The sequence below is a fragment of the Homo sapiens genome, chromosome 1 (assembly GCF_000001405.40).
Source record: "Homo sapiens chromosome 1, GRCh38.p14 Primary Assembly".
Taxonomy (NCBI): Eukaryota; Metazoa; Chordata; class Mammalia; order Primates; family Hominidae; genus Homo; species Homo sapiens.
Window position 1 is genome coordinate 40,503,168 of NC_000001.11, and position 25,961 is coordinate 40,529,128.

Consider the following 25,961-nt stretch of genomic DNA (forward strand, 5'->3'; position numbering starts at 1 on the left):
GTGCTGGGATTACAGGTGTGAGCCACCGTGCCCAGCCCAACTTCTTTATTTAGTTAGCTCCTACTCATCCTCCCAGATTTAGTTTGCATCATACAAGGAAATGACATGTGATACACCTCACAAAATTTATACCTTTCTTGGATGAGCCCTTGAATTCTTGGCTGGATTGACTAAATAAAGAGATAAGCCTTATCCTATAGGATTTGAGACCAGAAAGTGACAACGTGGGGTTTAAATTTTATAAAATTACTGTGAAATCAGTTTGGGAGAACCACGTCTCAACATGAGGCAATAGCCCAGTGCAATAACTTACCACTTCAATTTGCTTTACATTGTTACTTGCTCCACGTCCCTCTTTTCTTTTCTTATCCTTGCTACCACGTGCTTAACACCTTCCAAATTAAAAAAAAAAAAAAAAAAAAAGGACTCTAATCCTTGCCTCAGGCTCTGTTTTCTAGAAGACTCTGGCTAAGACAGGCATAGAGTTTAACCCCAGTTTACCAATCAGGAACAATTTCTGAACTTATGTTTCAGCTATTAGGGAAACAGACTTCCTTTTTTCCCACAATGGACACAAATCTGAAAGGCTTTCATGGTCCTGGAAGCTACTAGCAGTGGAAGAGGAGGGAGGCTGCCGGATATGGAGCAAACACAGGAGAAACAGATCCAAGAAATGGAAAGAGAAAACCCCTTGACTCAAGGGTTCATAATGTACCATATCCGAAGCTGCCTTCTTTTAGCAGAAGCATGCCCCAGTCGTTCATCCTTAGCTCATTCTCACCCCCCACAACTTCCTGGCCTAGGGCTACCTCCTCCTGCTTTCTCCGACTAAAAATGCCCCTTTCAATTGCCAGAAATTGGAGTTTGACTCAAGAGAGAGGCTGATTCTCATATAAGGAATAGAAGATTCTCAAATACTGAATATTGTCAATGGAGTTCTCTTGAGCATGTAAAGAGTATGCCGATTATTGCCCCTATACCTGTGAGGAACACAATTTGAGCAAGATAAATTCTCTTCCTTTAAGGCTCTGATACTCCAGAGCAGCACTGTACAACAGAAATATAATGTAAGCCACAACACAAATGCAAACATATGTAATTTTAAATTTTCTAGCAGCTACATTAATACAACAAAAAACAGCAAGTAAAATTAATTTTTTTTTAAAGACAGAGTCACTCTGTTGCCCAGGCTGGAGTGCAGTAGTGCAGTCTTGGTTCACTGCAACCTCTGCCTCCTGGGTTCAAGAGATTCTCATGCCTCAGCCTCCTGAGTAGCTGGGACTACAGGCACATGCCACTATGCCTGGCTAATTTCTGTATTTGTAGTAGAGATGGGGTTTTGCCATGTTGGCCAGGCTGGTCTTGAAATCCTGACCTCAGGTGATTCACCCACCTTGGCCTCCCATAGTGCTGGAATTACAGGCATGAGCCACCACACCCAGCTTAATTTTAAGATGTTTTATTTAACTCAGTTTTATTAGTCTGTTCTCATGCTGCTAATAAAGACATACCCAAGACTGGGTAATTTATAAAGGAAAGAGGTTTAATGGCCTCACCATTGCACATGGCTGGAGAGGCCTCACAATCATGGCGGGAGGCGAAGGAAGAGCAGGCATGTCTTACATGGCAGCAGGCAAGAAGCTTGTGTAGGGGAACTCCCCTTTATAAAACCATCAGATATTGTGAGACTTATTCACTATCACGGGAACAGCACAGGAAAAACTCGTCCCCATGATTCAATTGCCTACCACTGGGTCCCTCCCATGACACATGGGGATTATTAAAATTCAAGGTGAGATTTGGGTGGAAAACACAGAGCCAAACCATATCACCAATATATCCAAAACATTATCATCTCAACATTTAATCAATGTAAACATTATTAGTGAGTTATTTAACCTTTTTTTTGTACTCAGCTTCAAAGTGCTTGTAAATGTTATAATTATAGCACATTTCATTTTGGACTAGCCACATTTCAAGTGTTCAAGAGCCACATATGACTAGTGGCTACTGTATTGGACAGTGCAGCTCTGGGAGTAATCACATAAAGACTTACTCCGATATATGGTAGACTGTAGTCAGTACAATGTTAGGGGTACAGTCCTGTGCTCCAAAACACCAAGGAGGGAAGAATGGACACAGAGGAAAATGGGCCATTTGTGTCTAACAGTATTTTGATGGTTACAGACCTGGAGATGGAAGAACCAAATCAGTGACTTTTGCATACAGGTGGGCCTTAAGGACTCAGACTTCCTAGGATAGCCTTTTGGGGAAAAGGGCATTCTTTTCTCAGTTTTGAGACCCACAGTCTTTAGGCTGAAAGTTTTGGGGAATATATGGTACTATGTTTTTGATATTTATTTTCCCCACAAATTCCATGACTGTTTCTAAATCTCTTCTGCTTCACTCTACCCAGTGTCATTGCCCCTCAAACCCCATTTGAGGAGTGGTCCATGTGTGAAGGGGTTGGGGAGGGGTTTTCCTGGCATTCAGTTTACATCTCAAGTAAGAAAGGTTATGTTGGGGAAGAGGCAGAAAGTTTTTGTAGCCTCAATCCAGAAATGCCTTCTCATATCTCAATGGATTAAAAAGCATTTCCTCAATGATATGGTTTGGTTGTCTCCCAACCCAAATCTCATCTTGAAGTGTAGCTCCCATAATTCCCACATATCATGGAAGAGGTACCTGGTAGGAGGTAATTGAATCGTGGGGGCAGGTCTTTCCCATGCTGTTCTCGTGATAGTGAATAAGTCTCACAAGATCTGATGGTTTTGTTTTGTTTCGTTTTTGTTTTTGAGATGGAATTTCACTCTTGTTGCCCAGGCTGGAGTGCAGTGGCGCGATCTCAGCTCACCACAACCTCCGCCTCCCAGGTTCAAGTGATTCTCCTGCCTCAGCCTCCCGAATAGCTGGGATTACAGGCGTCTGCCACCATGCTTGGCTAATTTTTTGTATTTTTAGTAGAGATAGGGTTTCACCATGTTGGCCAGGCTGGTCTTGAACTCCTGACCTTAGGTGATCCACCAGCCATGGCCTCCCAAAGTGCTGGGATTACGGGCATAAGGCACCACACCCAGCTGACCTGATGGTTTTATAAAGGTGTGTTCCCCTGCACATGTTCTCTCTTGCCTGCCACCATGTAAGAGGTGACTTTGCTCCTCCTTCACCTTCCTCCATGATTGTGAGGCCTCCCCCGCCATGTGGAGCCGTGAGTCAATTAAATCTCTTTCCTTTATAAATTACCCAATCTCAGGTATGTCTTTATTAGCAGCATGAGAACAGACTATTTAATACACTTAAATTCCATTTTTTTTTTTTTTTTTTTTTGAGACAAGAGTCTCAGTCAGCCACCCAGGCTGGAGTGCAGTGGCATGATCTCGGCTCACTGCAACCACCATCTCCCGGTTTCAAGCGATTCTCCCATCTCAGCCTCCCGAGTAGCTAGGATTACAGGCACCTGCCATCATGCCCGGCTAATTTTTGTATTTTAGTAGAGACAGGGTTTCACCATGTTGGCCAGGCTGGTCTTGAACTCCTGACTTCAGGTGATCCGCCCGCCTCGGCCTCCCAAAGTGCTAGGATTACAGGCGAGAGCCACCGTACCTGGCCTCAACTTACATATTTCTAAGAAAAAGAACATTTTCCTACATAACCACAAAATCATTATGACACTCAGGAGACCTATAATTGATTGATAATATTATCTAAAACACAAGTCACTTCAAAATTTTCCCAACTGACGCACCAGAGTAGCTGGGACTACAGGCACGTATCACCACCCCCAGCTAATTTTTGTATTTTTTGTAGAGACGTGTTTTCACCATGTTACCCCAGCTGGTTTCTGAACTGAGCTCAAGGGATCCACCCACTTCGGCCTCCCAGAGTTCTAGGATTACAGGTGTGTGAGCCACTGCACTCAGCCTGTAGTTGTCTTAATTTAATGTTTCTCTTTCTTTCTTTTCTTTTCTTTCTTTCTCTTTCTTTCTTTTTCTTTCCTTTTTTCTCTTTCTTTTTTTCCTTTTTTTTTTTGAGACAGAGTCTCACTTTATCACCCAGGCTGGAGTGCAGTGGCCTGTTGTCGGCTCACTGCAAACTCCGCCTCCCAGGTTCAAGTGATTCTCCTGCCTCAGCCTCCCAAGTAGCTGAGATTACAGGCACCTGCCACCACACTTGGCTAATTTTTTGTATTTTTACTAGAAACGGGGTTTCACTATGTTGGCCAGGCTGGTCTCAACTCCTGACCTCAAGTGATCCGCCTACCTGGGCCTCCCAAAGTGTTGGTATTACAGGCATGAGCCACCATGCCTGGCCAATTTAATGTTTTTCTATTTTTGTTTTAAAATATTTACCTATTCTGAAGTCCAAAGATATTTTCCTATATTATATTCTGAAGACTTTATAGTTTAGGATTTCACATTTAGGTCTTAATCCAGCTACAATTGATTTTTGTGATGAAATGAGAGATAGAGGTCCTGTTTTCTGTTTTGTTTTTTTTTTTGAGACGGAGTCTCCCTCTGTTGCCCAGGCTGAAGTGCAGTGGTGTGATCTCCGCTCACTGCAACCTCCGCCTCCCGGTTCAAGCGATTCTCCTGCTTCAGCCTCCTGAATAGCTGGGACTACAGGTGTGTGCCACCACACCCAGCTAATTTTTGTACTTTTTAGTAGAGACAGGGTTTCACCATGTTGGCCAGGATGGTCTCGATCTCTTAACCTCGTGATCCGCCCACCTCAGCCTCCCAAAGTGCTGGGATTACAGGCGTGAGCCACCGTGCCCGGCCTTCATATTGTCATAGAACCTTCACTGAATAGACCATCTTTTCTCCATGGCTGTATGATGCCACCTTTGTCATAAATCCAGTTTTCAAGTATGCGTGATAAACCGTAAAGAAAAGCAAAGAGTCAAGTATCTGCTTTTGGTAAAATAAATAAATAAATAAATATAAATAAGAAAAGCAAAGTGTTATAAAAGTCGGGCTAGTGGTTTTCTCAGGAAGTGTATCTGTGAAGAACCTGACACTATTCTTTTTTCGCTCTAATGACTTGGCTGTTCATAATTATACTTATCTTTGGTTTATATTTCAGAATAAAATTGTGTTATATTTATCAATAAAAGGTTAGTTAAAAGTAAGCAAACAGAAAAAAAAAAAGAAATATTGATGAGGGGAGCGCCAGCATCTCTCAAAAGTGAGTTCGTGGTTTTGCTCTCAATGGAAAAGCCGGCGGGAGGTGCTAAGGTGGGGATGCTGAATCCACGGATGGCCAAGCGGAGACGCGGCACTTCACCGGGGGCAGCGAGGGGCCCAGACCTTGCTCGGATTGTCCCGGTGGTAACTGGGAGACCTCGCCAGTGAGGGAAGTTACAGATCAGCTGCGCCCGGAATTAAACGACCCACAGACAACGGCGCAAACAGAGGGACTGACCTGCTTTAGTGAGCTCCCAAAACCTGCTCTCGCATAAGCACACCCTCCTCCGCTCACAGAGACGGATTTCTGCCCCAGCCGCAGCCTCGCGAGGTAGGCGGCGCCGCGAGGGCCTCTGGGAAGGCGGTCCGTGGGCAGCCGCGGGGCACTCTGGGACTGGGCTCTGGGCGGCTTTTTTGCGAGTGGCGGGCCGACTGTGTAGTCCGCTCCGGCAGCGCGCTCTGCCCGGCTTCCTCAGTCTCCTCGCCGGGAGCGTCCGGGAGCAGCTCCGAGGCCGCGGCGAAACCAGGTGGAGTCCGAGGTTCGGAGGAGTATCAGAGGTTAGGGGAAGGCCGGAGAATGGGCTGGGAGGCTGCGTTTCGGAGCTTAGGGTTCTGTCCCTGCGATCGCCGCGTCTCCCTCCCTTGGTGGGCGCGGCTCCCGGGAAGCGGCTCGTCTCGTCTCCCCTCACAGGCCGGGTTCCCGTTCTGGACCTTCGCCCTCGGAACACAGTGCTGTTGGCCGGGACTCCTTCCCGAGGTGGACGGCTCCCTGTTCTTATTCCTGGCTCTGCCAGAACTGTAGGAAGTGCTCAGTACACTTTAGGGCATGCATGGCACTCCCTGGGAGACAGTGCTTTAGGGCCAGAGGAAAGATCTTCCCTGAAGGCAAACGCCCGCGGAGCCCACAAGTCCGGGCCGCACTGAACAAGTCAGGATGTTGCCATCGGCAATTCTGCAGAAGGCAGTAACCCATCTGAGAGAAAGAGCCGCTGTCATAAGGTCTCTTGCTTGAGCTGCTGGGTTGAGAATGGAGCTGGAAGAGGGAACTGATCTCGGAGCTCCTTGGGGATCTTGGTTATGTCTGACCCTTTTACTTTCAGGGAGCAGGGATTGGATCAAGTCATTGCATCTAGAGTACGGGGGAACGAAGAAATCATGGAGAGAGTTTGCCCCAGGAGAGAGGCGAGCGTTATGTAACCTAGGATCTGGGGTGGGTAACAGTCTGTGCAGTGTCAATGTGAGAGGAGAAAACACCCAACGTGAGGGAATGGTCAGGTAAGAAAGGACCAGAAGTTCCGGTTCTACCATAGCAAGGACCTAAGTTGCTAATTTAGGTTCTTTAATGCAGACCTGGTCTTTCAGAACTTCTTTCTCTTCCCTAGCCTTGTCATTTCAGCATTCTGGCCTTCCCTATGAGGAGGAAGATCAACGAAGTCACAGGTGAATAGGAGTTTCTCTTCTAAAGTTTCATCTCCTTTGTCAGGGGGAATCGATACACTCTCTCATCTCTTCCTTGGGGAAAAAGAAGGAGATCTATCTTCATCGAGTGCTAATATGCGTACTATATGTTATCACTCAATGGTCGGATATCTCAGTAGGGTTAGTAGGTATTTTAAAAATGTGTCAGTAACTTCAGGAAAACTAGAACCTTGTCCAAGCTTACTCAAAAGGCAAGTAGCATACTACTAAATGCTACCGAACTACTCAGGATTAGGTTTAGAATCCATATCTGTAGGACTCCCAGACTCTTGGCATTATGCTGTTTCCCAGCATCCCATTCACTTACTACCTAACAATTTTGCCATACCTGTGTACTACCTGTATTATTCTATGTTTTTACTTACTTTTTTTTTTTATAAAAATCAAACTTGTCCTAAGAAACAATATCTGTGAAATTAGCCATTTGATGGCTGCTCCAATAACAGTATAGTTATTCTAAGGTGTATCTAAAAATGTTGGTCCATGTGCTATGTAAAATCGTCTCGTGTCAGACATACAAACTACAATTTGGGACACAATGCACTGCATTATGCTCTCTTCTGGATTCTTTTCTGCGTAGGAAAGTCCCAGACACATCTGAGCATCAGTCATCCATCCCTAGTGTACTGTTTTATTCTTATAGATGAATACTTTCACAGAGAATGCCCTGCTTTGTATCTTCTCCAAAAGACATTTCACTTCCCTGTTTAGAACTACCTGTTCTCAATGTTGTATGTAAAACAAGTAGGAACTCCATACATTTCAGGAGCTTCCTCTCTCTTTGGGGAGTTAATGTGTACACAGGAAATAGTCTAACTCTATGCTGTTCAGTAGAGCTTTCTGTGATCAGGGAATGTTCTGTATCTGTGCCTTATCTGTATCCACCAGCCAGATGTAGCTACTGAGCACTTAATATATGGCTAGTGCAACTGAGATGTGAATTTTATTTTATTTTAATTAAATTTAAGTAGCCACATATGGCTAGTGGCTACTAATGGCTACCATATTGGACAGCCAGGTCTAGATATTTGAAATAAAATATTTTAAGGTTATTGATTTGGACTTGGAGTTCCCCCTCACCCTCACAAATACCTCATAGCATATGTGTTATAAATGCCCTTTAGGGCTGGGTGCGGTGGCTCACGCCTGTAATCACAGCACTTTGGGAGGCCGAGGCGGGTGCATCACGAGGTCAGGAGATCGAGACCATCCTGGCTAACACGATGAAACCCCGTCTCTACTAAAAAATACAAAAATTAGCTGGGCGCGGTGGCGGGTGCCTGTAGTCCCAGCTACTCGGGAGGCTGAGGCAGGAGAATGGCGTGAACCCGGGAGGCAGAGCTTGCAGTGAGCTGAGATCCCGCCACTGCACTCCAGCCTGGGTGAAAGAGTGAGACTCTGTCTCAAAAAATAAAATAAAAGAAAAGAAAAAATAAATGCCCTTTAACTTTAGTTTCTTGGTGAAGGGTAAATATTCTTTCCAATTTTCAGAGACTTCATAGTTGAAATAAAGTTTCTTGAAATTATTTAAAGCACATTGACAGTTTATAACACTTGTGTAAATGCACAGCTTCTGTATTTTGTTACTATTGAAATATCCTGTAAAGCAATAATGTTGTAGGATACTCTATAAGCAAAAGTCTTACTATTGTATTATTTTTATTCATTGCAGATAACTTTTCTTCTAGCTATCTATGTTTTCTTTCATTAGTGACATTTAGACTATTTAAAAATCAGTTAAACACAACCACAACTGATATTAATGACGTTTTCAGGGCATCACTTCTTACGCTTTGACATAGGAGTTGGTGCATTCACCTTATTTCACTGCTTATTAGAATAGCAAGAAGGGGACATTTGGTTCATAGCTATCTCTATCAGCTAAAATTCTATGTCAAATTATTTATTTTCCTGGCACTCAAAGTCAAACACTAATGGACTGGTTGTATCTTGTTTTGCTTACTCTCTATGCAGGTTAGATATGTGGGGTTAGAAGGAAGGCTTAAAAAGAGTATCTTCATAAGATAATTTGCCTAGTTTCTTTTTTCTTTTTTCTTTTTTTTTTTTGAGACGGAGTCTCGCTCTGTTGCCCAGGCTGGAGCACAGTGGTGGGATCTCAGCTCACTGCACGCTCCGCCTCCTGGGTTCACGCCATTCTCCTGCCTCAGCCTCCCAAGTAGCTCGGACTACAGGCACCCACCACCAAGCCCGGCTAATTTTTTGTACTTTTAGTAGAGACAGGTTTCACCGTGTTAGTCAGGATGGTCTCGATCTCCTGACCTCATGATCCGCCCGCCTTGGCCTCCCAAAGTGCTGGGATTACAGGCGTGAACCACTGCGCTTGGCCGCCCAGTTTCTTAAGATTAAAAAATACTTGAAAGACAAAACAATCAAACATAATGTGTGGTCTTTGTTTCCTGGATTAAAGAAAAGCTATCTAGGACATTTTGAGGACAGTTGGGGAAATTTATATATGAACTGGAATGTTAAGGAATTACTAATTTTGTCAGATGTGATAATGTAGTTATGAGGAGAATGTCATTTGGAAGACAGTATTGTGGTTATGAAGAAGAATGCCATTTGGAAATTATGCTGAAACATTTAGATTTTAAAGTTTTATGCTATCTGTAATTTACTTTAAAATAGTTCAGCCAAAACAAAAAAGTACACACACAAGAAGTAAATACAGCAAAATGTCAACAGTTGTTCATCTACATGGTGTGGACATGGGTGTTTGTTGTTTTATTCTTTCTACTTCTCTGTATGTTTGAAAATTTTCTTTTTCTTTTGAGATGGAGTCTTCACTCTGTCACCCAGGCTGGAGTGCAGTGGTGTTATCTCAGCTCACTGCAACCTCCACTTCCTAGGTTCAAGCGATTTTCCTGCCTCAGCCTCCCGAGTAGCTAGGATTACAGGTGCCCGCCACCACACCCGGCTAATTTTTTGTATTTTTAGTTTCACCATGAGGTGTATTTTTAGTTTCACCATGCTGGCCAGGCTGGTCTCAAACTCCCGACCCCAGGTGATCCACCTGCCTCGGCCTCCCAAAGTGCCGAGATTACAGGCTTTAGCCACTGTACCCGGCCTTGAAAATCTTTATAGTAAAAAGTTGAAAGAAAAAAGGAGTACAGTACCCATCCCCATCCCACAGTAGGGTAGTGAGATATTGGATGTAAAACACGTGGCTCAGTGTCTGGCACACAAAAAATAACCGCACAATAAATATTCTCTATTATAGCAGTAAATTTTGAGTTTTTAATAATGCTGTAATAGGCAGATTTTTTTCCCATTATAAGCTAGTTTCTTGTGGAGGGAGAAAATAAACTTAATGGGAAACTCCAGTTTAGTGACAGACACCAATTTCTATAATATTAAGAGGATAATTTATGAAGTCAAGCTACTAATTTCCATGTGTCGCTGTAACATCCTCTTATTATTTCATGCATTAATTTGTGTTAGACTATATTTATTTGTATCTATATATAGTTGATCTTTGAATTTTGCCATACTAGGTTCCTTGAACTGCATTTAAAAACAGTTATTGCAGAGCTCCTTTTTCTCAAGGAACAGTTTGTAGTTGAGATTCATTTTGCTCGTCAAGGACTTTGTATAAAGGAAATTGTAGAAAGTGGCCCATGGTAAACTTCTCAAACATTGTTCCTACATTTACAAAGATGTATATTCACTTAAAATAATGAAATACTCTTTCAAGTCAATAGAATTTTGAAGCAGAAAAGGCAAACCTCAAATCTCCTTTTTTTTTTTTTTTCTTTTTCTTGAGACAGAGTCTTGCTCTGTCACCCAGGCTGGAGTGCAGTGGTGCAGTCTCGGCTCACTGCAACTTCCATCTCCCTGTTCAAGCAATTCTGCTGCCTCAGCCTCCTGAGTAGCTGGGAATACAGGTGTGTGCCACCATACCTGGCTAATTTTTGTATTTTTAGTAGAGATGGGGTTTCACCATGTTAGCCAGGCTGGTCTTGAACTCCTGACCTCAAGTGATCTGCCCACCTCAGCCTCCCAAAGTGCTGCGATTACAGGTGTGAGCCACCCGCCCCGCCTCAAAGCTCTTTTTAAATCTGAAGAAACTGAGGCCAAGAAAGGTGATTTGCTTAAAGTCACACACAGTATGTTAGTGGAAGATCCAGGAATAAAACTATTTTTCCACTTAAAAAATTCTGCAGTGGCTCATGCCTGTAATCCCAGCACTTTGGGAGGCTAAAGTGGGTGGATCATGAGGTCAGGAGATCGAGACCATCCTGGCTAACACAGTGAAAGCCCGTCTCTACTAAAAATACAAAAAATTAGCCAGGCGTGGTGGCGGGCGCCTGTAGTCCCAGCTACTCGGGAGGCTGAGGCAGGAGAATGGCATGAACCCGGGAGGCAGAGCTTGCAGTGAGCCGAGATCGCGCAACTGCACTCCAGCCTGGGTGAAAGAGCGAGACTCCGTCTCAAAAAAAAAAAAAAATTCTGCCAAGAGATATATATGGATATATATAAGGAGCCCTATAGCAATACATACCTGGACTATAACTCAAGGCATTACTAATTGGTCATAAATAAACTGGCTTTTTAAAAGAATGTAAATAAATAATTTGTCATAATTTTGTTTTTATCTCACTGAAATTTGAAAGTGCTTTTGAGAACGTTTTTATTTGAACAATGCATTTCTTTAACATGTTATGCAGGGCCCTTCTAGCCCAATCCAGAGCTGTACCATGGCAGAGACAAGAGAAGAGGAGACAGTGTCAGCAGAAGCCTCAGGGTTCTCAGACTTGAGTGACTCAGAGTTCCTGGAGTTTCTGGACCTAGAAGATGCCCAAGAGTCAAAGGCTTTAGTTAACATGCCTGGCCCATCTTCTGAATCCCTTGGGAAGGATGACAAACCCATAAGCTTACAAAACTGGAAAAGAGGATTGGATATATTATCACCCATGGAGAGATTCCACCTTAAATATTTATATGTCACTGACCTGGCTACTCAGAACTGGTGTGAACTGCAAACAGCATATGGGAAGGAGCTTCCTGGTTTCTTGGCACCTGAGAAGGCAGCTGTGTTGGACACTGGTGCCAGCATACACCTAGCTAGAGAACTAGAACTTCATGATCTTGTGACTGTCCCAGTCACCACTAAAGAAGATGCTTGGGCAATTAAGTTTCTGAACATACTTTTGCTGATTCCTACCCTGCAGTCAGAAGGGCACATCAGAGAGTTTCCAGTGTTTGGGGAAGGGGAGGGTGTACTTCTTGTTGGAGTGATTGATGAGCTGCACTATACAGCCAAGGGGGAACTGGAGCTGGCGGAACTCAAGACACGCAGGCGCCCTATGCTCCCTCTGGAAGCTCAGAAGAAGAAAGACTGTTTTCAAGTCAGCCTATACAAATATATCTTTGATGCCATGGTACAAGGAAAAGTGACCCCTGCTAGCCTAATCCACCACACAAAGTTGTGTCTAGAAAAGCCACTGGGGCCATCAGTGCTGAGGCATGCCCAGCAGGGAGGCTTCTCTGTGAAGTCTTTGGGTGACCTCATGGAACTTGTCTTCTTGTCTCTAACACTGTCAGACCTCCCAGTTATTGATATCTTGAAGATTGAGTATATCCACCAAGAGACTGCCACTGTGCTGGGTACTGAGATTGTAGCCTTCAAAGAGAAGGAGGTGAGAGCCAAGGTGCAGCATTATATGGCCTACTGGATGGGCCACCGAGAGCCCCAGGGAGTTGACGTGGAGGAGGCTTGGAAGTGCCGGACGTGTACCTATGCAGACATTTGTGAGTGGAGAAAGGGCAGTGGAGTGCTCAGCTCTACACTGGCGCCCCAAGTCAAAAAAGCCAAATGAATAGAAGGTATGCTTTCAAGAATGTTGATCCTTCCTGCTCCTGTTGTACCTAAGCAAAAGAGGACCAGTCTCTGAGCTTGGCTTTTATGGAGAGTGTTCTTATTTTGGTTCTTTTTTTTATTTCCACAACCTCTAACCACATTCAGTCCAGGACCAAGGCTCAGGGATGAGTGGGAGAGATGGGTTATACTGTCCCTGGAGCTTCATCATGATTGCCTGAGAAGACAGATGCTCATCATGGCTGGAATGAAGGTATCCTTCAGTAAACTTTGCTTTCCTAAGAAAATTCTTCAGTTTCTGATAAGTCATCCCTATTTTTATCTTGATCAAGGCTTTCTACAGTTACATAATAAAATGAAATGCTGTCCAGGACAGTTGAACTGATGGTTTTTTCATAACTGCAGTCCTTCAAAGATGACCACCATATATAGTTGTGTACGTGTTATTCCAAGCCTTTAAATATATACATAAACATATTTTGGAATCAGAATGAGCAGACCAAAACATAAACAATAAATATTCTCAAAGAGACAAGGGAAGATGAAGTAGAAACAGGAAGTCATAAATATTAGATACGAAAAACATAATACATGGCTGGGTGCGGTGGCACATGCCTGTAATCCCAGCACTTTGGGAAGCTGAGATGGGTGGATCACCTGAGCTCAGGAGTTCAAGAGCAACCTGACCAATACGGTGAAAGCCCGTCTCTACTAAAAATACAAAAATTAGCCTGGGGTGGTGGCGTGCGCCTGTAGTCCCAGCTACTTGGGAGGCTGAGAGAGGAGAATAGCTTGAACCTGAGAGGCAGAGGTTACAGTGAGCTGAGATCATGCCACTGCACTCCAGCCTGGGCAACAGAGTGAGACTCTGTCTTAAAAAAAAAAAAAAAAGAAAAATAATACATGAAGTAACATGTAACATTCACATATTGCAATCCAGCAGTAGCACTCCTGGGTATATGCTGGAAGAAACCTACATGTGCAATAGAAAATGTGAACATGAATATACTTTGTAGCACTTTCACAATAGCAGAAGCCTAGAAGCTACCCAGGTGCCCATCAGCAGAAGAGTGGAAAATGTACAGTAGCCAAAACAAATGAGCTACAGTGACATAAAACAATATGCATGAATATTAGCAGCACAACATTTGGTGAAAAAAGTCCTGAAAATTACATACAGCATGATACCCTTTTTATAAGGTGAAAAATAACATTTAAAGGAAAATGTAAAGGTAGTGGAGAGGAATCCCAAGCCATCTTAGAAGGCAGTGGAGCTCTTAACTACAAACATCATCAAAGCAGCTAGAGGAAGGATGATACGGACGTCACCTGGAAGATAAGGACTTGCTTGTGACACTACTGGAGAATTTGCAGAAGTCAATGCATGGGGAGGGCAATTGGCAGGGGTAGAGTTTCTGTATTAACTGGAACATTAAGAGCCAACAGAACATGGTGAATGTTGTTAGTATGATTCCATGTTATACATGAGCTGGTAAATCCTGGACATCTGTAGGAGATAAGGTAGGTTGTCTCTGGAGGCCCTTCTTCACATACTCTTCTTATGGACCCTGGAATCTTATGATGACTCTTCACTGAGTGACTCTTATGGCCAGGCACTGTGCTAAGCACATTATAATTAAATCTGTATCCATTATCTCCAGTGAGGGAACTGAGGCCTAGAAGGGTTATATAATTTTCTCAGCTGGGTGTGGTAGCTCACACCTGTAATCTTAGTACTTTGGGAGGGGAAGGTAGGAAGATCACTTGAGGACAGGAGTTCAAGACCAGCCTGGGCAACATAGCAAGACCCCATCTCAAAAAAAAAAAAAAGCCAGGCATGGTGGTGCATCCCTGTAGTCCTAGCTACTTGGCAGGCTGAGGCAGGAGGATCACTTGAACCCAAGAATTCAAGGTTACAGTGAGCTATGATCATGCAACTGCAAAAAAAAAAAAAAGTTTCCAGGGTTCCACTGTTTGAAAGTGGTAGACTCCAGGCTAGATATGTCTGACGGCAGTGCTTATGCTCTCAATCATTATGCTATTAAAGTTTTCTTGTTGAACATCCTGGACTGTATGTTATTATAGGCCCTAGTAAGTTTAGAGTTAAATGAACCTAAATTCACTGGACCTATGGGATAAATGGTATTAAGCTAATAGTCTTCAAGAAAAGAACTTGCTCAAGTTCTATAGCATCATCTTAGTTATACTAGAAGTTTTAAGAACAGGAAAAAGGGCTGGGCGTGGTGGCTCACCTGTAATCGCAGCACTTTGGGAGGCTGAGGTGGGCGAATCACCTGAGGTCAGGAGTTGAAGACCAGCCTGGCCAACATGGTGAAACCCTATCTCTACTAAAAACACAAAAATTAGCTGGGTATGGTGGTACACACTTGTAATCCAAGCTACTCGGGAGGCTGAGGCAGGAGAATCGCTTGAACCCAGAAGGCAGAGGTTGCAGTGAGCCGAGATCACACCACTGCACTCCAGCCTGGGCGACAGAGTAAAACTCTGTCTAAAAAAAAAAAAAAAAATTTGCCGGGCGCGGTGGCTCACGCCTGTAATCCCAGCACTTTGGGAGGCCGAGGCGGGCGGATCACCAGGTCAGGAGATTGAGACCATCCTGGCTAACACGGTGAAACCCCAACTCTACTAAAAATACAAAAAATTAGCCGGGCGAGGTTGAGGCGTCTGTAGACCCAGCTGCTCGGGAGGCTGAGGCAGGAGAATGGCGTGAACCTGGGAGGTGGAGCTTGCAGTGAGCCGAGATGGCACCACTGCACTCCAGCCTAGGCGACAGAGCAAGACTCCATATCAAAAAAAAAAAAAAAATTTGTTTTCAGATACTGACATTATTGAGAATTCAGTAATTCCTTGAGATTTCAAATCCTTATTTTAAGTTAACATCTTCTGGTTATAACCTTAGGGTTTCTCATAAGTTGAGACATCTTTACTTGGGACCACCCCAGGATCACTGCTTATGAATGTTTGTGCCCCCTCAAATTAGTATGTTAAAATCCAAACCCTCAGTATGGTAGTATTAAGAGGTGGGCCTTTGGGAGGTGATTAGGTAATGCAGGGACAGCTCCCATGAATGGGATTGGTGCCCTTATAAAAGAGTTCCAAGGGAGCTCTTCAGTCTTTCCATCATGTGAGGACACAGTGAGAAGGCGCCTCCAAAACTATGAGAAATAAATTTTTGTTGTTTATAAGCCGCTCAGTTTGTGGTATTTTGTTATAGCATCTCGAATGACTAAGACAATCACTGATGCTGTTTTCTATAACAAGATACCTTCCTGATTCAGCCTTCGCATGTCTAATAATGTCATCTCTCCCTTATGAATTCTGCCTAACATGTCTAAACTCCAGATTACAGCCCTGTTGGACGTTTGTTTAGTGAGTGGATAAAAAAAAAGATGTCACAACAAAGCTATTTCTTGATTTTTAAAAAATTGCTTTCTGGGCCAGCAAATGAGTTGAATACCTTAATTGGGATTAGGATCAATTGTTTATAATAGAAATCACCAAAACAATAGTGGTTAAACAAAACAGAAATGTATTTCTCACTTAAAAAGAAGCCTAACTATAGTTAGTTCAGGACTGGTGTGGCACCCGGTGATGTCAAGAGCCCAGATTCCTTCCCTCTTGTTTCTCTGACATAAACATGTATCTTCTTCATAGTCCAAAACGGCTGCGCAAAATCCAGTCACCCGTTACACATTCAGCATAAAGTTGGAATAGTAGAAAGGCACCCTTTTACAGACACTTTTAAAATGTGTACTACTACTTTCACTTACAGCCCACTGGCCAAAACTTGGCCACCTCGTCATAGCTAGCTGCAAGAAAGGTTGGGATGTGTAGTTTTTATTCTCAGTAAGCATATGCCCTGACCAAAACTAAATTCTATGACTGCAAAAAAAAAGAGAGAATGGAGAGAGGATTTGGAGAAAATGGCAGCATAGAAAGCACCAGAAATCTGTCTCCCAGCCTAGACAGCAGCTGCATTGGCAGAATCTATCTGATGCAACTATTTTGGAATCTGGAGTCTGTTGAAATTTTGCAACTTCCAGGGGAAGATGATAAATTGTAGTTAATTTTGGTCAATTTCAACTCTTAGGACGGTAGTAACTACCAGTTCCTCACCCCTCAGTCCTATGGCGACAGCTGTGCACATATTTCTGGAGCAGTTTGCACACAGCTTGATTTTTTCCTCCTTCATTTTTCTCTTTTAACCCCTTTTGGGAGCAAGACATTGAAGACTAGGACATTCAAAAGCATCTGCATATATGGGGAAACTATAAAATCACCATGTACGCTGAGGGGAGGTGCAGGATTAGAAAAGGATTGAGTAGAAAAGTTTATATTTCATGCTGATTCTTGGGACAGACACAGCCTAAACAATGAAAGAAATAGAAACTCTGAGGAATGGGGAAAATCTGATATCCAGAGTTACCACATTAGATTAAAATGTCTAGTTTTTGGCGGAGCATGGTGGCTCACTCCTGTAATCCCAGTGCTTTGGGAGGCCAAGGTGGGTGGGTTGCTTGAGGTCAGGAGTTCAAGACCAGCCTGGCCAACATGGCTAAACCATGTCTCTACTAAAAATGCAAAAATTAGGGGGGCGTGGTGGTTCTGAGGTTTTGGGACTCAGACTGGCTTCCTTACTCCTCAGCTTGCAGATGGCCTATCTTGGGACTTTACCTTTTGATCGTGTGAGTCAATACTCCTTAATAAACCCCCCTTCATATATACATCTATCCTGTTCTGTCCCTGTAGAGAACCCTGACTAATACACTGGATGACAGCACATCTGTTTACAGCATGGATGACTATTTTAAGCCCACTGTTGAGACCTACTGCTCAGAAAAAAAGATTCCTTTCATACTGTTACTGCTCATTGATAGTATACCTGTTCATCCAAGAGTTCTGACGGAGACATATAAGGAGATTATTGTTTTCATGCCTTCTAACACAACATCCACTCCAGCCCATGGATCAAGGAGTCATTTTGAATTTCAAGTGTTGTTATTTAAGAAATATATTTCATAAGGCTGTAGCTGCCATAGATAGAGATTCCTCTGATGGATTTGGGCAAAGTAAATTGAAAACCTGCTGAAAAGGAGTCGCCATTTTAGATGCCATTAAGAATGTTGATATTTGGTGGCTCACGCCTGTAATCCCAGCACTTTGGGAGGCCGAGGTGGGTGGATCACGAGGTCAGGAGATCAAGACCATCCTGGCTAACATGGTGAAACCCCATCTCTACTAAAAATACAAAAAGTTAGCCGAGCGTGGTAGCAGGTGCCTGTAGTCCCAGCTAATCGGGAGGCTGAGGCAGGAGAATGGCGTGAACCTGGCAAGCGGAGCTTACAGTGAGCCGAGATCGCACCACTGCACTCCAGCCTGGGCAACAGAGCAAGACTCTGTCTCAAAAAAAAAAAAGTGTTACCTTACCTTCAATTTTTTGCAAAAGTTTGAGAACTGGTATTGCTTCTTCTTTAAATGTTTGGTAGAATTAACTAAAAAACAATATTCTTAAAAAAAGAATGTTGATATTTTAACCTCCAACCAAGACAACTAGAATTAAAAGTGGAGCCTGAAGATGTGACTGAATTGCTGTAGTCTCATGATAAAACTTGAACAGATAAGGAGTTGCTTCTTATGGACGAGCAAATAAAATGGTTTCTTGAGATGCAATCTGCTCCTGGTGAAGATGCTGTGAATATTGTTGAAATGGCAACAAAGGATTTACAATATTACATAAACTGAGTTGATAAAGCACTGGCAAGTTTTGAGAAGACCAACTCAAATTTTGTAAAAAGTTCCACGGGGGTAAAGTGCTATCAAATGGCACTGCATATTGCATGCTACAGAGAAATTTTTTTTTTTTTGGGACAGAGTTTTGCTCCTGTTGCCCAGGCTGGAGTGCAGTCCCAGCTCACTGCAACCTCTGCCTCCCCAGTTCAAGCGATTCTTCTGCCTCAGCCTCCTGAGCAGCTGGGATTACAGGCACGTGTCACCACGCCCAGCTAATTTTGTATTTTTAGTAAAGATGGGGTTTCACCATGTTGGCCAGGCATGTCTCGAACTCCTGACCTCAGGTGATCCACCCGCCTCGGCCTCCCAAAGTGCTGAGATAACAGGTGTGAGCCACTGTGCCCAGCCTGAGAAATCTTTGTGAAAGGAAGAGTCAATCAATGGGGCAATCTTCATTGTTGTCTTATTTTAAGAAATTGCAAGGCTGAGCATAGTGGCTCATGGCTATAATCCCAGAACTTTAGGAGGCCAAAGTAGGAGGATCACTTGAGGCCAGTAGTTCACAACTAGCCTGGGAAACATAGTGAGACCCTGTCTGTACAAAAATTTAAAAATTAGATAGGTGTGATGGTGGGCACCTCTAGTCCTAGCTACTAGGGAGGTTGAGGGGGAGGATTGCTTGAGCCCAGAAGTTTGAGGCTATAGTGAGCTATGATTATGCCACTGCACTCTAGCACCTGGGCGACAGAGTGAGACCCGCCTTAAAAAAAAAAAAAATCAACAACTTAACTTTACAACTTACGGAACTAGAAAAAGAACAAGGCCAGGCGCAGTGGCTCATGCCTGTAATCCTACCACTTTGAGATTGTGAAGGTAGGAGCATCACTTGAAGCCAGTATTTCAAAACTCACCTGGGCAACCAAGAAAGACCTTGTCTCTACAAAAAATTGAAAAATTAACCAGGCATGGTGGCTTAGGCCTACAGTCCCAGCTACTCAGGTGGCTGAGGCAGGAGAATCCCTTGAGCCCAGGAGTTGCAGGCAGTGAGCTATGATCATGCCACTGCACTCCACGTAAGCAACAGAGCGAGACCCCATCTCTCAAATAAATAAATACTCAACCCAAAGTTATCAGAAGGAAGGAAATCATGAAGATGAGAGCAGAGATAAAATAATGAATAGAAAAACAATAGAGAAAATCAATGAAACAAAAAGTTGTTCTTTAACCAAACACTTACATAAGTGTATGCCAACAAATTGGATAAACTAAATGAAATGGACAAAATACTAGCAACATAAACATACTAAGACTAGGACTAAATCATGAAGAAATGGAAATCTGGTCAAAGCCATTTCATTGCACATTGTTTACTTTCACAAGTCTGGTTAGATGGAATACACACAAAGCAAGTTAAATGCAGTGAATTTGTTACTTACAGTTAGACCTCAAGGGACAACAGAAGACTAGGATTCAGGACAAGCCATCTGAAACACTCAGGAAAGCTACCCGGGGTGGATGGAGGCCTGTGTGTCATGTGCCCATGTGCACTGCACCTGAGAGACCCCAGAAAGCTGCCCATCTCCCCGGGTTTTATTATTTATTTATTTATTTATTTTTGAGACATGGTCTCGCTCTGTCTCCCAGGCTGAAGTCTGGTGGCGCAATCTCGGGTCACTGCAACCTCTGCCTCCCGGGTTCAAGTGATTCTCATGCCTCAGCCTCCCGAGCACCTGGGATTACAAGTACCCGCCATGACACCTGGCTAATTTTTGTATTTTTAGTAGAGACGGGGTTTCACCATGTTGGTCAGGCTGGTCTCGAACTCCAAACCTCAAGTGATCTGCCCACCTGGGCCTCCCAAAGTGCTGGGATTACAGGCATGAGCCACCGTGCCTGGCCCCTCTGGGTTTTATACCATGGGAACCATGGGAACAACATGACAGAGTGGGCTAAAATGTTAAAGGGCATCCTGTTTCTATGGGGGACAGGAAGAGAGCCTGGGCTTTTCTACCCATCTCCTTTATCTTGGAATGTTGCATTCCCAGTATATTCTACAGTTAATCTTTTTTTTTTCCCCCCGAGATGGAGTCTCACTCTGTCACCTAGGCTGGAGTGCAATGGCACGATCTGGGCTCACTGCAACCTCTGCCTCCTGGGTTCAGGTGATTCTCTCACCTCAGCCTCCCAAGTAGCTGGTATTATAGGCACCCGCCATTATGCCCGGCTAATTTTTGTATTTTTGTAGAGATGGGGTTTCTCCATGCTGGCCAGGCTGGTCTTGAACTCCTGACCTCAGGTGATCCACCTGCCTTGGCCTCCTAAAGTGTTGGGATTACAGGCGTGAGCCACCTTGCCTTGCCTATACACTTATTCTTAAGAAATAAGAATGAGTGAGAAACAGGAGAGAACTAGGTTGCTCGAAGGCCACCGAGAGAATTGTCCTGTACTATTAACTAATAATGAGATTGAGTCAGAAATCAAAAGTCTCTGACAAAAGCCCAAGACCTGATGGCTTCACTAGTTAATTCTACCAAGCATTTAAAGAAAAAGCAATTCCAGTTCTCAAACTTTTGCAAAAAATTGAAGATAAGGTAACACTTTTTTTTTTTTTTTTTTGAAACGGAGTCTTCGCTCTGCCACCCAGGCTGGAGTGCAGTGGTGTGATCTTGGCTCACTGCAGGCTCTGGGTTCATGCCATTCTCCTGCCTCAGCCTCCGGAGTAGCTGGGACTACAGGTGCCCACCACCATGCCCGGCTAATTTTTTTATTTTTTTAGTAGCTACGGTGTTTCACCGTGTTAGCCAGGATGGTCTCAATCTCCTGACCTCGTGATCCACCTGCCTCGGCTTCCCAAAGTGCTAGGATTACAGGCGTGAGCCACAGCACCCGGCCAAGATAAGGTAACACTTTCTAACTCATCCTATGAGGCCAGCCTTAACCTGACATCAAAGCCAGACAAAAACACTACAGGAAAAAACAACAGACCAATATCTCTTACGAATATTGATGCAAAAATCCTCAACAAACTACTAGCGAATCAAATTCAGCAGCACATTAAAGGAATATACACCATGATCAAGTGGGATTTATTCCTGGGATGCAAGGGTGGTTTAATATTGGAAACTCAATTAATATAATACACCATATTAACAAATGAAGGGAGGAAAGCATGCAATCATGTCAATTGATGCCGGAAAAGTCTTTGACAAAATTTAGCCCCCTTCCATAATAAATAAAACGGTCAACAAACTAGGAATAGAAATACAACAATTAGTAGCATTTCTATATTTGAACAAAAAACTAGGCAAAAAGGAAGTCAAGAAGGAAATCCCATTTAAATTGCTACCCAAAATTTTTAAATATCGAGGAATAAATTTAACTGAGGAGGTGAAAGACATCATGAGGAAAACTACAAAATACTGATGAAATAAATTGAAGAGGATTCAAATGAATGGAAAGACATTACATGCTCGTGGGTCAGAATTAATATTGTAAAATGACCATACTACCTAAGGCAATCTACAGATTCAGTGCAATCCCTATCAGAATATCAATGACATCCTTCACAGAAATAGAAAAATGTCTTAAAATTTGTAGGGAGCCACACAAGACCCCAAATAGCCAAAGCAATCCTGAGCAGAAAGAACAAAGCCAGAAGAATCACACTACCTAACTTCACAATATAGTACAAAGCTGTAGTAACCAAAACAGCCTTGTACTGGCATAAAAACAGACACATAAATCAATGCAACAGAATAGAGAAACCAGGAATTAATCACATATCTACAGCCAACTAATTTTTGGCAAATGTGCCAAGAACACTTTTTGGGGACAGAGCAGTCTCTTCAACAAATGCTGCTGAGAAAATGATATCAATATGTCGAAGAATGAAACTAGACTCTCATCTTTCACCCTATAAAAAAATCAACTCAAGGCCAGGCGCGGTGGCTCACGCCTGTAATCCCAGCACTTTGGGAGGCAGAGGTGGGCAGATCACGAGGTCAGGAGACTGAGACCATCCTGGCTAACACGGTGAAACCCCATCTCTACTAAAAATACAAAAAATTAGCTGGGCATGGTGGCTGGCGCCTGTAGTCTCAGCTACTCGGGAGGCTGTTTGGCAGGAAAATGGCATGAACCCAGGAGGCGGAGCTTGCAGTGAGCCGAGATCACACCACTGCACTCCAGCCTGGGCAACAGAGCCAGACTCCGTCTCAAAAAAAAAAAAAAAAAAATCAACTCAAAATGGATTAAAGACCTAAATATAAGACCTGAAACTATAAAACTACTAGAATAAAACATAGAGGAAATGTTTCAGACTATTGGTCTAGGGAAATATTTTATGAATAAGACCTCAGAAGCACAGACAACAAAAGCAAAAAATAAACAAATGGTATTATACCAAACTAAAAAGCTTCCGTGCAGCAAAGGGAACAACAGAACGAAAAGACAACCTGCAGAATGGGATAAAATATTTGCAAACCATTCATTCAACAAGGAATTCATATCCAGAATATACAAGGAACTCAAATGTCTCAACAGCAAAAAAATGAACAATGCAATTAAAAGTGGGAAAATGATCTGGACATTTCTCAAAAGAAGACATACAAATGGCCAAAAAATATATGAAAAATGTTCAACATCACTTAATCATCAGGGAAATGCAAATCAAAACCACAATGAAGTATCATCTCACCTCAGGATGGCTATTATCAAAAAGAGAAAAAAATAAGAAATGCCCTTTAGGATGTGGACAAAACGGAACTCTTACACTGTTGGTGGGAATGCAAATTAGTACAGACACTGCGGAGAACACTATGGCGTTTCCTTTAAAAACTACAAATAGAATTATGTGATCCAGCAATCCTACTGGGGCATTTATCCAAATAAAAGGAAATAAGCATATCAAAGAGATATCTGCATCCCCATATTTATTGCATCACTATTCACAATAGCCAAGATATGGAATCAACCTAGGTGTCTAACAATAGATGAATGGATGAAGAAAATGTGGCATATATGGACAATGGAATACTATTTAGCCAGAAAAAAAGAATAAAATCAGCCAGGTGCAGTAGCTCGTGCCTGTAATCCCAGCACTTTGGGAGACCGAGGTGGGCGGATAACAAGGTCAAGAGATTGAGACTATCCTGGCCAACATGGTGAAACCCTGTCTCTACTAAAAATACAAAAATTAGCTGGGCGTGGTGGCACACACCTGTAGTCCCAGCTACTCGGGAGGCTGAGCCAGGAGAATCGCTTGAACCGATGAGGCAGAGGTTGCAGTGAGCAGGCAACCTACAGAATGGGAGAAAATTTTTACAATCTACCCATCTGACAAAGGGCTAATATCCAGAATCTACAAAGAACTTAAACAAATTTACAAGAAAAAATCAAATAACCCCATCAAAAAGTGGGCAAAGGATATGAACACACACTTCTCAAAAGAAGACATTTATGCAGCCAACAGACACATGAAAAAATGCTCATCATCACTGGCCATCAGAGAAATGCAAATCAAAACCACAATGAGATACTATCTTGCACCAGTTAGAATGGCGATCATTAAAAAGTCAGGAAACAACAGGTGCTGGAGAGGCTGTGGAGAAATAGGAACGTTTTTACACTGTTGGTGGGACTGTAAACTAGTTCAACCATTGTGGGAGACAGTGTGGTGATTCCTCAAGGATCTAGAACTAGAAATACCATTTGACCCAGCCATCCCATTACTGGGCATATACCTAAAGGATTATAAATCATGCTGCTCTAAAGACACATGCACACGTATGTTTATTGTGGCACTATTCACAATAGCAAAGACTTGGAACCAACCCAAATGTCCATCAATGATAGACTGGATTAAGAAAATGTGGCACATATACACTATGGAATACTTTGCAGCCATAAAAAAGGATGAGTTCATGTCCTTTGTAGGGACATGGATGAGGCTGGAAACCATCATTCTGAGCAAACTATCACAAGGACAGAAAACCAAACACTGCATGTTCTCACTCACAGGTGGGAATTGAACAATGAGATCACCTAGACACAGGGTGGGGAACATCACACACTGGGACCTGTTATGGAGTGGGGGGAAGGGGGAAGGATAACATTAGGAGAAATACTTAATGTAAATGACAAGTTAATGGGTGCAGCACACCAACATGGCACATGTATACATATGTAACAAACCTGCAAGTTGTGCACATGTACCCTAGAACTTAAAGTATAATAAAAAAAATCAAGTCAAATCAAATCCTGTCATTCTCAGCAACACATATGTAACTGGGGAACATTATGTTATGTGAAATAAGCCAAGAAAAGAAGGTTAAACAACGCATGTTCTCACATGCAGAAGCTTTAAAAACTTGATCTTATAGAAGTAAAAAGGAGAGAAGAGGATACTAAAGGGTAGGACGAGTTTGGGGAAGGAGGGGATAGGAAGATATTTGTTAAAGGATAGAAAATTACAGCTAGATAGCAGGAATAAATTCTCATGTTCTATACCACTATAGGATGACTATAACAATAATATAGTTTCAGATAGCTAGAAGGAAGGTATTGAATATTCCCAACACAAAGAGATGATAAATATTTGAGATGAAGTATATGTTAATTACCCTGATCTGAACACTATACATTATACATATACACTATGCCTATGTATACACATGCACTATATATATACACTATATGTCAAAATATCACTATGTACCCCATAAATATGTACAGTTATTATATATCAATTTTTACAAACCTCACCAGGGTCCTACAAATTTAGGTACTGTTATTGTTCTCATTTTACATTTGAGGAATCTGAGGCACAGATAAATTTATAAACTGGCCCAGTGTTGCATACCTAATAAGAGGTAGTGCACTGATTCAAATCCAGGCAGTCTATCTCTGCAGCCCACACTGTTAGCCACTAGTATGTCAGAAATTCAAAACTTCAAAGTCAATGTCTAACCAACCCAGGAGCAGTGAACACCACCAGATGCCTGATCAAGGTCTTGAAATACCATCTCCCATTAAAAAGAGCCAGGTTCCTTGGAGAAATGGCTGATTTAAGGTCTGGGTCAGGAAATGAACAAGAGAAACCTGAAGCACCTTGTCATATAGATAACAAGCTATTGAAGACTAATAGGATCATTCCAAAAGAAGAGGACTCTCAAGAGCCAACTTAAAGAGGCTCCCAATGGCCAAAGATGTGACAGTTTGAATATCAGTAGGGATAACAATAGCAATAGATTGAAGCACATCAAACATGTTTAAATCTATGAGTTCATAATGATGCTCAAAAATTGGTCATGTTTAAGAGATAATTGGGATGTTAAGTTGAAAACTGGTAAATAAATTTTTTTCCTGACATTCCTATGTGAACTGTATACCTGAATAACTACATAGTACATGATATGAAGTTCCTCTTTATAGGAATAATCCAGCTGCTAAATGACAAAGGAATGATAGAATTAGAGTGTCCCTTTTTTACAACCTCTAAAGTTGTGGTATGATCATAGCTGACTGCAGCCTCAAACTCTTGGCCTCAAGCAATCCTCCCTCTTCTTCAGCCTCCCAAAGTGATGTGGTTACAGGCATGAGCCACTGTGCCCAACGTTTGTACTTAATTTTTTAAAAACTCTAAAAGAAATTGCAATTATGAGAAAATTGATAATTTGAACAATGACTCAATGTTTGATGATGTTAAGGAAATA

General features: G+C 42.6%; 1 protein-coding gene and 1 long non-coding RNA gene across 15 annotated transcripts in view, besides 2 other annotated features; one reads left to right on the forward strand and one right to left on the reverse strand.

Moving 5' to 3' along the window:
- EXO5-DT (EXO5 divergent transcript) overlaps positions 1 to 5,528 on the reverse strand; it is a 17,671-nt gene extending 12,143 nt beyond the window's left edge. The window contains exon 1 of the long non-coding RNA NR_187365.1: positions 5,422 to 5,528. This is a non-coding gene — a long non-coding RNA (EXO5 divergent transcript). The remainder of the gene's footprint in view (positions 1 to 5,421) is intronic.
- On the forward strand, positions 5,600 to 12,871 carry EXO5 (exonuclease 5). 14 transcript variants are annotated; one of them, XM_017002099.3, is made up of 4 exons: positions 5,600 to 6,182; positions 6,284 to 6,458; positions 6,566 to 6,623; positions 11,348 to 12,871. In XM_017002099.3, the coding sequence occupies exon 4, from the start codon at positions 11,378 to 11,380 to the stop codon at positions 12,497 to 12,499; it is 1,122 nt and encodes a 373-aa protein (XP_016857588.1). In that variant the 5' UTR covers positions 5,600 to 6,182; positions 6,284 to 6,458; positions 6,566 to 6,623; positions 11,348 to 11,377; the 3' UTR covers positions 12,500 to 12,871. The 14 variants fall into 14 exon arrangements, with proteins under 14 accessions (XP_016857588.1, NP_001333882.1, NP_001333876.1 ...); NM_001346953.2 differs by having other exon boundaries at positions 5,600 to 5,741; NM_001346947.2 differs by having other exon boundaries at positions 5,600 to 5,741; positions 6,291 to 6,458.
- Positions 5,637 to 5,886: an enhancer, noted in NCBI's record as "active region_846". NCBI's record gives its function as "activates an Ori minimal core promoter by ATAC-STARR-seq in GM12878 lymphoblastoid cells {active_cell/tissue: GM12878}" and the evidence as "EXISTENCE:reporter gene assay evidence [ECO:0000049][PMID:35858748]".
- Positions 5,917 to 6,006: an enhancer, noted in NCBI's record as "active region_847". NCBI's record gives its function as "activates an Ori minimal core promoter by ATAC-STARR-seq in GM12878 lymphoblastoid cells {active_cell/tissue: GM12878}" and the evidence as "EXISTENCE:reporter gene assay evidence [ECO:0000049][PMID:35858748]".
- Positions 12,872 to 25,961: the final 13,090 nt, after the last annotated feature.